This window comes from Homo sapiens, chromosome 2, assembly GCF_000001405.40.
Source record: "Homo sapiens chromosome 2, GRCh38.p14 Primary Assembly".
NCBI lineage: Eukaryota > Metazoa > Chordata > Mammalia > Primates > Hominidae > Homo > Homo sapiens.
Window position 1 is genome coordinate 121,358,159 of NC_000002.12, and position 15,793 is coordinate 121,373,951.

Below are 15,793 nucleotides of genomic sequence, written 5' to 3' on the forward strand. Positions count from 1 at the left end.
TTTTGTCTTTTTATTAAAAAGCAAAAACCTACAAAGGAAATGGGGCTTCTGGTCATATCCCAAGGTTGGGCCTAGGGAAAACTGAAAATTTAGAATTTGAGGATTTTGGTTTGCTACTCAACAGCAACCTGTATTATCTTGAGGCTGGATGAAACACAGATAATCACCTAGTCCACTTGATAGGGTAAGAGATAAGGAAAAACCAAAGTACAGAGGGGTAAAGGCATTTCTCCAGAGTTCATGCAGTATATTATTTCCCAGTGCCCATTGATACAAATGACTGCTGCCCTGAGAGGCACCTAAGGGCCATTCCTGAGCGCAGGGGGTCTGGCTGAGATGAGGTCAGCTAGTGATTCTAACTGGTATTTGATCACATATCTTCTCTGGCACACTGGTGCTTCTCTCTGACTATGGCATTTGTCTAAAGGACTGCATGAGATACCATGCTGGCTGGGCGAATCAGAAACCAGACAAGTTCCCAGGAAGTTCTCTTTCTTTTATAAATAACTTTGGTCTGATTTTGCCATTTTAATTCTTTAAAGTCATAAAATAAAAAGTTAACTAGAAATGATTTAAAAATAAAACCCCTGAAGACATACTACTGGTGGTTTTATATTTATCTAAGAATCAAACTTCCCAAAACAAGCCAAACCACTTGAAGCTGGATTCTGGTGCCTTAAACACCACGACCTTTGTGTGTGTAGCAAGAAATGTTTGGTGATCCAGCACAGTGACATGAATGATGCTAATATTTTCCTCTTTTAACAGACAAGTGTAACTGGATATTCACTAATGTGGCAAAGTTCAGAATAAGCTAAGTCTAATGATCAGAAAACCTCAATTACAGAATATCTTCAAAAAACAGTTGGGCTTCTTTCAAGTTTAAATAAAACATTTACTGTGAACTTCAACATTATGGGTACTATATGCACATCACACTGACTGGCAGCAACAAATATTCTTGCATTAAGTGTGCATACAATGATTTATAATTAGTATATCAACTATTTCCTGAGAAATGGGCACTTTTGAAATGAATAAGGATGTCTGAGAACAGTTTTATGTAGCAACATTTGTATAGCATATGACAATTTTAAAAGCATATTTCTATATCATAATATCTTTCATTCTCACAGCAGAGCTGCTTATTCAGGGTTATACTAAGATGATGAAACTGGGGACAGCTGGACAACAGCAGACGCAGGACTAAAAACCAGGTTTTCTGCCTCAAGATTTTTATCTCACACTGACCCCAGAATCTCTTTGTAGTATCAATTCTCTTATTTAATCCTCTCTTTTTAATCACCAAAGGAGAGGTTCTGTACCAGCTCTAACAAACAGATTACAAATTCTAATATAAGAAGAGTTCAAATTCATGGAGTTCTCTTGGAAACAGAAAATGGGCTCAAAATTTTAAAAGGTCACTCTCAAGGCCTTAGCCCTTTAAGGTATTTGCTAAATGCCAACTCTACTGCAAACCACGGTAACTTCATTAATGAGGCACTGAAACTCAATAGCAAAATTTATTTACTAAAAAGATAAAGAAGTTAGATAATGAAAGAGACTTACTCAAATAGGGACTATGAAAACATTATGTCTAAGCTCAGAAACACCAAATTTTAAAATAAAAACTCTAAATTGGTGTCCAAATCCTTCATCTATCTTGCTTACTATAGAACATGTATGTTAGCTTTGGATGAATGGTGTCTGAGACAGATTTGGTACTTGGCACATTTTCAATGTGTAAGAAACACATTCTGCACATATAGCTTCTTTTGAAAGAAACTGACAAAGCAGACGCTTGCTTATATGAGAAAACAAGCCATCTTATCGTCAGTCCTATCTCATCCATCTTCCCAAACAGCTTTTGTGACAAATTTCAATTTACAGAAATTGTATTTCAAGAAGCTGTCCTTCCTCGCTGCAGTCACATAGTCAGAGCCACAGTGCACATGCTGGTGTGGTAACGTCACGCTGGCAAGAGAAGGGCAGCTGGTGCCAATATCTCTAAAAGCAGCCCCATGTTAACCTGCCGAGTCTTACGCTCTTCATCTCCTGCTGAAGCCCAGTTTTTGTCTGGGAATATAAAACCAACTAGCTTCTTATTGAGAACGAAGCTCCAAGAGAGCTAACTTTGGGATAAACAAACTTTGGAAGTATTAATAAGACAGGAAAATAGACTATGACTTTGTATGACTAATAAAGTAAGTCTAGAAACATTTCAGATCCTTTTCAATAAATGTTTGGAGTCATAAGAATTGAATGCAATGATAAGAAAATGGAAGGACTAGAGAACTATTACGTGCCATATTAATATGCCAACAAGATGCCTACAACACAAACTTTATGTGCATCTCAGCCTTCTGCCCTAAAAAATGGCAAGAAGGAATGGGAAAAGATTGGTTAAAATAAGAGGAAGATAAGAAGAACTTCAAGGGAAAAGAAAAAAAAAAAAAAAAGGAACGAAAAATGAAAACCCAACCTCAAACCTAAATACACAGGTTCTTGAGTTATTATAGTGGCTCCTGGCAAAGTGACAGAGTAAAGTTTTATAAGGAAACTCCAAGGGCAATGAGTCAAGGTGAGTCAAACTATGCAAAGCAGGAAGGCCTGCCAATGCAGGCACCGTTCCCAACACATCTCCTCCACCAGCTCTACCACAAGTCAGTAACAGCAGCATGGGGACCCTTGAACCCGAGTGCTGCTAAGTTTATTTTAAGCAGGATATATATTCTGCTCTTTTCCCTTGGGCAATTTAAAGGGCCTCATACCTGAGAATTTTCTCTCCTAAATTTCTAATTTTGCAGAAAAAAAAAAATCTCCCAAGAAAAAAGCAAATAACAAACCAATTACTTAATGTTGTTAACTTATACTTCTTAGGACTCAACTTTAGACAGATATCTTCCAACTGGAGAGTCGGTAAGTGCGTGCCAAGACACCATGGACGGCTTGGCATTTCATTTAAATGCCCGAGTCTAAGTATGTACTGCCCCATGAAAACAACTGATATCATCTCTATGTAAAGGTGCAGTGGCTCATGCCCGTAGTCCCAGCTACTCAGGGGGCTAAGGCAGGAGGACTGCTTGAACCTGGGAGGTGGAGGTTACAGTGAGCACAGGTTGTGCCACTGCACTCCAGCCTGGGTGACAAAGCAAGACCCTGTCTCAAATACAAAGCACAACAAAAAGAACATCATTTTAATTTCATTTTTTGATCACGTATTCTCATTAAGGAGAAGCAATTATGGTTTAAAAAAGTTAGCACATGCCATTTGCCCCTTAACGGAGACACAAAACCTAGCTAATGTCTCAGTTCTGCCAGTAACTGCTATGCATACAGTTCCTCTAGGACAAGCTTGTCCAACCCGTGGCCCAGGATGGTTTTGAATGCAGCCCAACACTAATTCATAAACTTTCTTAAAACATTATGAAAATTTTTTGTGGTTTTTTTTTAGGCTCATTGGCTATTGTTAGTGCATTTTATGTGTGGCCTAAGACAATTCTTCCAACGCAGCCCAGGGAAGCCAAAAGATGGGACACCCCTGCTCTAGGACCTTCCCTCCTCACCTGGGAATCACTATGTTGATCGTACTAGCTCATCTGGTCTTCACGTTTTTTAAATGAGTTATTATAAATGAAAAGTGCTTTGTTCAAATGTGAGTTATTATCACCATCATGCAACCAAGCCAGATTTTGGAAACCCAGTTATTAGTCTGAAAACACATCCATCCCCTGTGTACTGTGTGCTGTTCTAGGACTAGCAGGTGAAGAGAGGCCCAGTCTGAGGACAAGACCCTCGCCCTTGCTGAGCTACAATTGTGGTGGAGATTTGAAGAGGTCACATCAGTCACTGCTCAAGCAGTCACACAAACGCCAAACAGAACTATGATCTAGGGTCTGACTCTCTATGTAGACGGAAGAATTGTGTTAACTATAATTCCCTTCATCCACGAGTGTGCTCACACGACAGTCACACATGAGCCAAGAGCTCAAACTAAGCAAGTTGTTATGTCTCACTCTGGGGTCAAACCCATTACCTGGCATGCTAAGTTTTCTGAAGTTCCAATATATGAGTTTGTTTCCCACAGTTCCTTTTACTGAAGGGTGTCACTGAATCATTTGTATCTGGACAGCTCCTGCCACCTCCCCATTCTCTGTAGGCTTCTAGCCACTTGAAAGCCTGGTGAGGCATAGGGGCTGGACAATCCAATAAGCAACAGGCTGAGTTTTTGCTGAGTGTGCACCCTCTGTGGCATGTGTGCAGGACACAGAGACATGTCCTGCCACTCTCTACCAGGTAGCTGAGGTCCCAATGCCAGGAACTGCAGAGATAGCTTGCTAGCATTTTAAATACTCAAAAGTGAGTGGAAGAGGCACAGCAGGGCTGCCACCACTCAGCCTCATCTTGCAGAGAGAAGCACACTGAACGGCTGGGAGGGAGGAAGGTCAGTACAGCAGCCTGCTACCCACTGTTGGCAGGCGCTGGGCTGGAATCATCCCTGGTCATCTCATTTAATTCTCATGAGAAACTTTGTGAAAATATCCATTCCTATTTTACACACAAGGAAACGGAGGCTCAGAAGGTGAAATGACTGGTCCACTTATCTGGAGCAAGAAGGCATTGGTTCTGGGACTTGCATGTCTGTGATTCCAAAGCTGGTCTCCACCTCCCACACCAGACTACCAGAGGCTAAATGCCAGAAAGCAGCAGCAGACCCTTCCCTTCCACAAAGGCAGCTGGAAGCACGGACATGGAACACATCCCAGGGGCAGGGCAGGCCTGCTGGAAACAGTGAGCAGGAGCTAGGAACTGAACAAATGGCATTGGCCCTGGAACTATGCCACTGCTCAGCAAGGACGACAGCAATGGGGACTCCACTCTGTATTACGACATGGCTGAGTTCCAAGGAAGGGGCTCTTAAGCTGTGCACTGATTCTGATTCCTCTATCTCCATGTCCAAACTGCTCCTCATGACCCGTCTGTTCAGCACCCCTGGCCACATGACTGACTCACCTCCTTATGGGAGTCTTTGTGGGCTTCCAGAGTCTTCATAATCGTCAGCTCGGCGTAGTTTTTAAATCTTGCTGGTTGATTTCTCAGAATTTCCCTCAAAACTCTTAACGCCAGTGCTCGAATTGAATGCTAGAATACAAAGGGAAAGGAAGACATCACCAAACACCACACAGCACTTTCACACACAGCAGTCAGCAGGGTCGGCAAGGCCAAGCACCCAGTTCTGGGTTCCCTGGAACCTCGCAGAACCCTCTAAACAGATCACACAGTTCACTTGAAATCAGCTTTACTTGACACTGGCTCTCTAGACATCAGCTCCATGAAGGCAGGCACTGTGCCTTAGGGTGACATTCCCAGGACCCAGCGCCTGACAGGCACTGAGAAAAGCTACTTGAACGAGCCATGCACTTGAGACCAAATGAGGATGATATACCTAAGTTCATTATCAGTTTTCTGGGGATTTCCAGATTTCCTGAGGCTTCAGGCTACAAATTATGCTTCTGTAAAATGTATGAAAGAATGTGTATAAAGCACCTGGATGTTTCATCAACACAGCCTGTAAGAGTGAACTCCACCTAAGGACAGTGGAAGGCCTGTCATTATTCCTGACCTTCCATGTGATGAGATCACTGGGTGTGTACAGGCCTCGAGTTGGTTAAGGCCAGAGTCACGCATCTGGAGGAAAGCCATTCCAAACAGACTCCTGATCTCAATAAAAGAGAACGTAGTTTACACCAAACAGAGCCAGAAAGTACATCCTGATTCTTTGCCACTCATCTGTACAGTTCACACACTAATACACCATTTACCTGTCTTCTACATGACATCACTTTATCTCCCAACAGAGCCAACAAGGCATAACTGCCTTACGAGCCAATACTTTGTTTTTTTTAAAAGTATTTTTAAAAAGTTTTTTTTAAAAAAGTAAAACAGATTACTTATTACCATTCTTCTATTTTTACTTATCCCTAAACCAAACCATTAATCCAAAGCATCAGAAAGCTATCTGAGTCACCACGGCATGGCATGCAGCAGCCTCCCTGTCACTCAGTTGCCATGCAAGTCCCCTCTAGCTGGCCCTGGGCATGGCCTGCCACCTCCTGGCAATCCTCCCATCCCCTTCCTCCAGCCCCTCCCCACAGCACTCTCTTCTCATTTCTCTTCTCCATGTGGATGGAGAAACTTTTTCTTGTAGAGGTTTAATTCTGGTAATTCTCAGCATCTATTCCTGTTTCCATATAAGGGACCAGCTCCACAGGTGGGAGAAGGCAGGACTTTGACCAGATTACTCCCCCCTTTAAGAGTTCTCTATGTGCGATGTGCAGATCACAGACCAGGCATGTCAGAAATGCCTAGTTTGTCACATTCAAGTGTCCCAGCATGATGAAGCTTTTTTTATTTTTAAATTAATAATACAAAAATCAGAATCATGCTTCTGGAACCTGCCACTTGACTGATTAAAATTATTGGAACTCTTAACATATGTAGGGGGGGACCAAGATGGAATTTCATGGAATGTAGCATTTAATCAGGTCTTTTAAAATGAAACTTTTTCTCAATTACATATGAAACAAAAATGAAACTCACAAGTAAAAAAGTACATCCTAAAAGACCACATTCTATGCTAATAAAGTTTTAAGAAATTCTGTGTTAAAGCAACTAGATGCAGGAATGAAGTTTCCTCAACTACTATAAACCCAGTTGCAGACCATGCACGTAAGCCAAGCAGCAGCTTGTTGCTGATAAAAACATGACCTTACTAAACGTGCTCAGAAAATATGTGAAAAATGAACAAATAAATGTTTTGATGTAAACAGTAAGCACAACCCAGAAAGTAAAGCTGAAGCTAAGCCCAATAAGAAAAGGACATCGTGACCCCATTACATGGAAAGGGGCAAGATAAGGCCAAACCAGCATCTCACGTCTTTGTCTCCAAGGGTCTCCAGCAGCAGGAGCAGAATGGTCTTGAAGTGCTCCTCCCAGACACCAAGGCTGTCTTCCCGCGTGATCTTGAGCAGCTCCAGCAGGGCTCCCTTCCGTTCCTCCACTCGCTCATTGTGGTTGGACAGCTCTTTCAGAAGGTCAGCCACCAGGTCAGAATGGTCGATGGGCACTGGTGAAACACACCAGACATACGTCACCTCGTGAGGAAATGCCCAGCACAGGGGCTTGCTCAGTGGTGCGCAGTGATCCTTCCCTTCCTGCCTCCTCTCCCAGAGGCGATGCCTCCTTCACGGTTCCCCTCCCACCCTCCGCCCTGCTTCGCTGTCCGGCCTCAGCCTACACACCCTCCACCAACCTTCTCACCAAGTTCACTGTGAAAGCAGAGGTGCGAGACCAGCTGTCCAGTACCAACAGTCAATGTCTTCACCCTTCCTTGCTATCTTTTCCCTTCTACTTCAGACAAAGAGAAGAAATGCCTGTATCCGCCAAAGCCCCTCCTCAACCCTTTTATTTTCTGAAACTCTCTCCCACTGCCATGGTCCTGAGTCAGACCCACCACTGGACAGCCTCTTACCAGGGTCAAATCTACTCTCATACACACATACTCCTCAAGGCCTCCTCACCATCACATCTGATTATCCTCCATTCCCTTCTCAAATGTCTACAGCTTAGGAACCAGCATGGTGAACAAATACCAGTCAAGGTGTTTGGACTACTGGTGGACTATCTATGTGGAGACTAAAAACTGGCCCAAGATGACTCAACATAGTTACCTGCAGGGCTGTGAACACGGTTTCTATGGCAGAAAGGCACATCCTTTCTCCTCCATGTTCTTTTAAGAAACCTGAACTCTGAATATTCAACTTTAAATAGAGAGGATGAAAAAACAAACAAATCAGACAAGTTATTAGGAACTACTTAAATGTGTATTTGCATACTTCTTTAGCTTCTAAGATTGGGTAGCAAACACACAAGAAAGTCTGAAATGGTAAAGAACTCTGTCATTTCCTCCTGCCTTCCTATCTTTTCCTCCTTTTCTTTAAGCCTTTTAGTACACAGTTGGTGAATAACCAACACTGTAATTTCTACCCTAATCAAGATCTATAAAGGATAAGGTAAACAATTCTATAAGCAATGAAAACAAATAGTCCACTTCTCCCAGGAAGTGCCAGTCCTTACAAACACTATACCCTAATAGCTCACTGTCCAGTAAACAGATGTGTGGGCAGAGTCTGAGATGCTACCCACCAGCATATAAGCAATTAATAGCCAAGTGATTAGGCTTTTAATCCCTACAGCCATTTCTGCTTTCAAACAGAGAACTCCTCTTCTACCTTAGCATTCCCCTACTGTCTGATCCCTGCAAGAGGATCAGCTTTCTTTTCTTTGTGCCCCGACTGGATCTGGCATCTGCCTCCAGCACAGGCCTTCTCTGGTACTAGTGTGACCACTATCAGTCTGCTCCCCTGACAGACCTTGAGCTCTCTGAGGCCAGGCACTGTGTCTCATGTGCCTCGGTCCCTGGCAACCCATACACTTCATGACACACGGTAGGCCCTTAGTGAATGTTAACTATTTAGAATTCTAATGTAGGTTCTAATTACTCATTCAAACTTGAGAAATAAAACAGGCTTCAAAACAATATTTTTTTAAAAGCACTATCAAATCGAAATAAACCAAATCATGTAACATGAGAGGTGAAAAAATAATTCAGTTCCCGAAAAAAACACCATTGTACAAATACATACTCATCACTCACTAGTTTATTCAGTAATGGACACTGGTCTTAACACAGGAGCCAGAAAGAAACCAGACTAGCTCTGCTTCTGCTCCCTACTTCCTATGTTATATGCTTACGTTACATTTTGGGCAAATCTTTCTGACCCCATACTTAGCTTGGCACCACACATGGTAATGCAAATGCTCAGTGTGTATGTCAAACCCCTGCCTCCCAAATGCAGCACGGAGGTCAACACAGCTCCAGGGAGACCTGGTTACAAAGCAGGTGTGAAAGGAGAGGGAAGCCTCAGAGCAGTGCTTCAGGATCTCACTCCACAGCTCGGGGAGCTGGGAAGCAGGTCCAAGGCCTTCACAAAGGCTGAGCCCGCGCTCGCCATCCTGTTTGTTCCTACACCCCTGGCCTACCTGGGCCCTGGGTTCTACAGCAAAACCTTCCTGATGGTAGAGTTGGCCTTCCCTCATGCTCAGCTGTGGCAGTGGCTACTTCATATCACGTGTGACTGTTTATTTCCTCACTGCCCCGCTACTTGTGCTTCTGTTCACTGCCATGTTCCCCGTGCCCAAGCGCACAGTAGGGATTCAGTTAAGTAGTGCCTGAACAAATGACTAAGCAGAAAGAACAGACCCAGCGTCTCCATTTACATCTGACCAGTGGGCCTGGTGCTGGCCAGACGGGAGGGAGCACAAGGGAAGCACTTCTGGGTGGGGACAGTTAAGAAAAGAGACACCAACCGTCTCGAAGCTGCTCCATGTCGTCATCGAACACAGCCTCTTTCAGGGCGGTCTTGTCGTAGGTGTTGATGGCATCTGAGTAGGGGTACGGGTTGTAGTCTCGCGCCCGCGGCCCCGGGAAGGCGCGCGGAGGCTGGGTGTTGAGTAGTGAGGTCTTGTTATCCAGAGCTGTCCGGCCTCCTTCTACTTCACTACCCCCCCGGCCCTCAGTGGCAGGGGAGGCAGCGCCCCCATCGCGGGACACCTGCAGCACAGCACACTGTCAGTTCCCTTCTGGGACTTGTAATGGACATTTCCTTTGAATGCTCAGAAATATTAAGAAGGCCAGAGATTTTCACTTGAAATATGTATGGCCAGTGACAAAAGGACAGCTACTAGTACTGCAATGTAAAAATACCAAATCCGTAAACTACCATAAAAGGAACAATATACCTGCATTTATTTGCATCTAGTCTTTACGCTTTAAATCTCCTTTACTTTGTAATTTGATGATCCACTTTACCAAGATGTTTTCTGAGGGATGAAAGGCTCAGAAGCCTTTCCTTGAGAAGGAAAGGCTGTCCACTCACACCCCTGCTTTCAAGCACCAGACCAGCAACGGGGGCTTCTCACTGCGGCCCTGGCCCACATCCACAGACAGAAGCTCCTCCAACCGCCATCATTAAGTCTAATGGGTGTCATCCATCCCCAGATTAATTCCTTGTACTATATGTATTCCTGCCTAGTGCTGGGCCTCGGCGCTTCACAATCTCCTATGACAGAGAACTCAGCACCTCCTAGGCATATCATTCTTCTTTTAGATATTTCTGACTCAGAGTTGTTATGCTGGGTCAAAGAACAGGACTTTAGTATTTCCCAAATTTTTTTTTTTTCCCTAGTATATTCTGAATGTTGTCTTCAACAAATTCAACCGCTGGCCCTCTGACTGGGCCCTTGACATGGTATCGACAAGAGCAAATCACTTTTGCTTTTAGGGTCCTCTGCTGTGGGGCACACCACTGGTCTAGCCCCTTTGTAGGTGGCAGTGTAGCCCAGCAGGTGTGGGCTGGCTGCTGGCAACGGGGACAGACTGTTTTCCTCATCCCAAACATCTGACTACCCAACAACGGTGGAAACATTCCAGGCAGCCAGAACACATTGGTGACACCTATGGCAAAATTTTTACTTGTGCTGATGACAAGATACATTTCTCTCACTTTGTGCTAATGCATTTACACTTTTTTCCGGTTTTGGAAAAGTAGATGTAACATACCATTTTGATCATTCCTAACATACCATTTTTGATCATTCAGTGTCATTAAATACATTCATGATGTTGTGTAACCATCACCACTATGTATACCCAAAACTTTCTCATCATTCCCAACAAAAACCCTGCATCCTCATCCCTCTCCCTTCCCCACAACCCCTGGTAACCTTTATCTTACTTTGTCTCTTGGAATCTGCCTATGCTAGGTACCTCAGATAAGTGGAACTGCTGAACACATTCCACTGTGTGTATATACCACATTTTGTTTATCTGTTCATCTGCTGATGGGCACTTGGATTGCTTTTGCCTTTTGGCTCTTGTGAATAATGCTGCTATGACACACTGGTGCACAAACATCTGTTCAAGTCCCTGCTTTCAATTCTTTTGGACTTGAATCTAGTGGAGGTGCTGGGATGCATTTGGTTTCTAACACCCACAAACAAAATTTTATAATTAAGATGTAAAAATAATACATAATATATGCGTAGACAGAAACAAATTAAGACTAAAAAGGTATAAATCAAATCTTAACAGAGGTTTTCTCTGGGTGGAAGAAAATTCATGGATGGTTTTAATTGTTTCTTTTTATAAGTCTTCTAAAAATACCATTATAATGAAAAATTATTTATAAAAAAGGTAAGCCATTGAACAGGAGGTTTAAAAAAAACAAAAAAAGAGAAGGGTTTTAAAAATTTCAGACATTTAAAAAATAAAGCTCAACTCCCAATTCTAATCACTGTTAACAACAAAACCTTACTCCCTCAGTGTGTGTCTCCACGCAGGCTTTACGCAGCAGGAACCCGGTGTGCACGCTGGCTTCTGTTTTCCTTTCCCTACAGTGCAAGCACTTCCCGTGTGGATGAAGTTTTTGTAACCACCATGTTTAATCACACCACTACCTCTACTTGTGTTTTAAAAAAGATTTACTCAGATGTTCCCCTTTAATATTTTTGCTACTGTAGATAATGCTGAAATAAGCTATCTTATGGAAATGACATTTTTTTTTCTTCTGTTGAGTTCTTTCTTTAGTGTAGATTAACCATACTGGGTAAAGAATATGCAAATCACTTTTGCTAAATATAATTTTACTGAGTTCCAAAACATTGTATCAGTTTCCCATGGCACCAACATTACACTAGATCCTTATGCTCTTTCTAGTATTAAATGTTGTAATTTCTATTAAAGCAAAGCAGAAGAGAACCTTGATATAAGTCTGCTGTATTTCTGTAATTGACCGTAAGGATGGGCTTTCTCCCTATGTTGAATGTCTTCATTTTTGCTGTGTGCATCACCCTCCTACTGCATCTGACATTCATCCTATTGGCTTGTCTCCCTATATTGGGTTTCCTTGTTAGGCTTAAGAGGAGATGTACTGGCTCCCGAGTCTTTCACATTTAACACAGTTTTATATCCACCTCAATGTTTTAACTAAACATATGGTAAGTGGTGGCTAAGATGGTGAATTGTGAAGCTCCTCCATTCTTCGATTTTCTTTCTTTTTTTTTGAGACAGAGTTTCACTCTTGTCGCCCAGGCTGGAGTGTAAATGGTGCAATCTCGGCTCACTGCAACCTCCGCCTTCTAGGTTCAAGCGATTCTCCTGCCTCAGCCTCCCAAGGAGCTGGGATTACAGGCATGTGCCACCAAACCTGGCTAATTTCTTGTATTTAGTAGAGATGGGGTTTCACCATGTTGGTCAGGATGGTCTGGAACTCCCGACCTCAGGTGATCCACCCACCTCAGACTCCCAAAGTGCTGGGATTACCAGCATGAGTCACCATGCCTGGTCCATTCTTCGATTTTCACTGCCACCCTAGCTTTGCTGCTCGAGGCCACATTCTCCAGCAGGAACAGCCACTGCTCTGACATGCAGCATCTTCATGGCACTTCCTGACTCCTCCTGGCCCTGCAGCTCTGCCACTGCACTCCCCCCACTCCACCTGTCCCTAGGTGACACTGAGGCTTCCCAGGCCTTGCCCTCTTTATTTTCTCCCTCCCAAATTTCACTTCTTTCAACTCTCATCACAGTATTTTTACACTTGACAAAATCAGAAACCATCTAAATATACTGAAACAGGACACTGGGTGCCCATCTACAGAACATCATCCACAGGAGGAATCATTGAGAAGCCACAACTCACACAGGAACTGACGGAAAAGCACTCATGCCCTATGCTCAACAGATGGACAGTGTGATATTACTCTTACAAAAGCAATACTCCACACACTCCCCTACACACATATATGTATAAATATACAAAAAGGAATAGAAAAATACACCCTATAGTGTTAACACTGGTTATCTCTAGAGATGGTGATTTCTTCTTTTTCACTTTCTAAGTATCATTTTTTGGGCACATATTAAGTGTGTGTGTGTGTGTGTGTATATATACATATATATATATTTTTTTAAGGGACACAATCTTACTCTGTCACCCAAGCTGGAGTGCAGTGGCACAATCGTAGCTTACTGCAGCCTCAAACTCCTAGGCTTAAGCAATACTCTCACTGCAGCTTCTCGAGTAGCTGGGACTACAGGGTGCACACCACCACATCTAGATAAATTAAATTTTTTTTTTTTTTGTAGAGACAGGAGTCTCCCTATGTTGCCCAGGCTGTTCTTGAACTCCTGGGCTCAAGCAATCCTCCTGCCTTGGCCTCCCAAAGTGCTGGGATTGCAGGCGTGAGCCACCATAATTGGAAAAAGTAACCCCTCACGCATCCATCTTTTCTACTGTTCTTGATAGGAGTTCTGTTTCCCTAGTCAGATTCCCCCATTCCTCACAACAAGTCCCCCGCTTCAAAGCAGGCCTCCTTCCACTGCCCTGAGAAACCGGCAGTGGGAACACGCTCTACTTCCTGCCTCAAGCCCCTAAAGCCGCCCTCCTCCCTAGCTAAGACCAGTCATTCTACCTGGGCCCTAATCTCACGTCCCCACGTCCTGAAGGATCGCATCCAATCATCTGCTCTCCTCCACTGTGTAGGCAAGGTTCTTCTCTCCACTGGCCCTGCTGGGAGAGATCTCTCCCATCTGAAATGCCCTTTGATCCTTATTTCTCTCCAGTTTGTTCCTCAACTTCTTCACCCACTGTGATCTGGTTTCCATTCTCAACTCTGCACTCAACTGTGCTCACAAGATCCAATGTACTCCTGGAAGTAACTAACTTTGGATATTGCAGACTGTAACTACGTGTAAAGTTTATTTAAGAAGAAAAACATGGAAATCCAGTGAGCCCATTCTCGAAGGAAAGGTCTTAACTTTACATCAAAACATTGGCAAGTAAATGTGTATTTTATATCTTTTAGGTTAAAATAGAACATTTAATGTGGATAATAAGCAAATAATCCAATGGAGCCCTTTCATTTCATATGTGACCTGTTATCTCTTTGCAGCATGGCCCCTTTGGCTAGAATGTCCTTCCTGAAATAGTCTCCCTTATCTTCTATGCCACCACCCTCTCCTGGTCTCCCTCCTGTCAGCTCTAGCTTCTGTCCTTCCCTTAGTGTTGATGCTCCTTAGGATTCTGTCCTTATCCTTTACCTGGTGATTTCACTTACTTTTCTTTAGTTATCTTCAAGCAACTAATCAATATCTCTCAAATATCTAACTTCTGCCTAAATCACTGGCTGAAACAGACTGGTATATCCAAAGTCTCGATGGATATATTTGCTTGGATATTCCATAATTCCTGCAATTTGCATGTATTCAAAAGAGAATTCGTTATATTTCAAAGAGAGCATCTCCTTCTAGGGTAATATTTCACTGAATTGCACTAGCATTTGCTCGACAGCCCCAGAAGACTTCTGATTCTTCTGTTTCTGCTCATGCCCTATTCAATCCCACTTCCTTCTGAATTATTCTCCATTCCATAGTTACAGTAGCCTGTCTAAAATATAAGTATGACTATGCCACTTCCCTGCTTAAAGATCCTTCAATGACTCCAGTATCACCAGGGTGAAGTCAAGGCATTGGCTGGGAATACCCCAGTGAGCACATCCTTCCTGCTCTGAATCTCCCCAACCACTCCTCATGCCCACTCTTCTCCACTTCAGCCACTTCGAATAGGAAATCACACCATGCCTACATCCATGTCTTAGTCTTCAAACAGGCCCTCCTGACTATAACCCTCCTACTCGACCTAACAAACTCCTCTGGACCTCCATGCTTCAGTTCAGAGGTGACATAATCTCTTTTGCACATCTGATATGGTTTGGCTCTGTGTACTCACCCAAATCTTATGTCAAATTGCAATTTCCAATGTTCGGTGAGGAACCTGGTGGGAGGTAATTCGATCACGGGGGTGGAATTCCCCCTTGCTGTTCTCATGATAGTGAGTGAGTTCTCATAAGACCTGGTTGTTTAGAAGTGTGTAGCACTTCCCCCTTCGCTCTCTCTCTTGCCTTGCCACCATGTGAAGACATACTTGCTTCCCCTTTGCCTTTCTGCCATGATTGTAAGTTTCCTGAGGCCTCCCCAGCCAGGCCTCCGGTATAGTCTGTAGAACTGTGAGTCAATTAAACCTCTTTTCTTTATAAATTACCCAGTCTCAGGTAGTTCTTTATAGCAGTGTGAGAACTAACTAATATAGAAAATTGGTACCAGAAATGGGGTATTGCAATAAAGATGCCTGAAAATGTGGAAGCAACTTTGGAACTGGGTAACGGACAGAGGCTGGAACAATTTGGAGGGATCAGAAGACAGGAAAATGAAAGAAAGTTTGAAACTTCCTAGAGACTTGTTGAATAGTTGTGACCAAAATGCTAATAGTGATATGGACAGTGAAGTCCAGGATGAGGTGGTCTCAGATGAAGATAACGAACTGGAGTAAAGGTCACTCTTGATGTGCTTTAGCAAACAGACTGGCAGCACTGTGCCCCTGCCCTACAGATCTGTGGAACTTTGAAGTTGAGAGAGATGATTTAGGGTATCTGGTGAAAGAAATTTCTAAGCAGTAAAGTGTTCAAGATGTGGCCTGGCTGCTTCTAAAAGCCTCTGTTCATTTGCATAAACACAAAAATGACCTGAAACTAGAACCTATATTTAAAAAGGAAGCAGAGTGTAAAAGTTTGGAAAATTTGCAGCCCAACCAGGCAGGAGAAAAGAAAAACCCATTTT

General features: G+C 43.2%; 1 protein-coding gene across 35 annotated transcripts in view, besides 1 other annotated feature; it reads right to left on the reverse strand.

Moving 5' to 3' along the window:
* Positions 1-15,793, reverse strand: part of CLASP1 (cytoplasmic linker associated protein 1) — a 311,687-nt gene that overhangs the window by 20,383 nt on the left and 275,511 nt on the right. For all 35 annotated transcript variants that reach the window (XM_047443792.1, XM_047443782.1, XM_006712383.2 and 32 more), the window contains 3 exons: positions 9,430-9,673; positions 6,936-7,126; positions 5,014-5,142 (listed from right to left, as the gene is read on the reverse strand). In XM_047443792.1, the coding sequence (XP_047299748.1) occupies positions 5,014-5,142; positions 6,936-7,126; positions 9,430-9,673 (564 nt within the window). The remainder of the gene's footprint in view (positions 1-5,013; positions 5,143-6,935; positions 7,127-9,429; positions 9,674-15,793) is intronic.
* Positions 14,896-14,945: an enhancer, noted in NCBI's record as "active region_16463". NCBI's record gives its function as "activates an Ori minimal core promoter by ATAC-STARR-seq in GM12878 lymphoblastoid cells {active_cell/tissue: GM12878}" and the evidence as "EXISTENCE:reporter gene assay evidence [ECO:0000049][PMID:35858748]".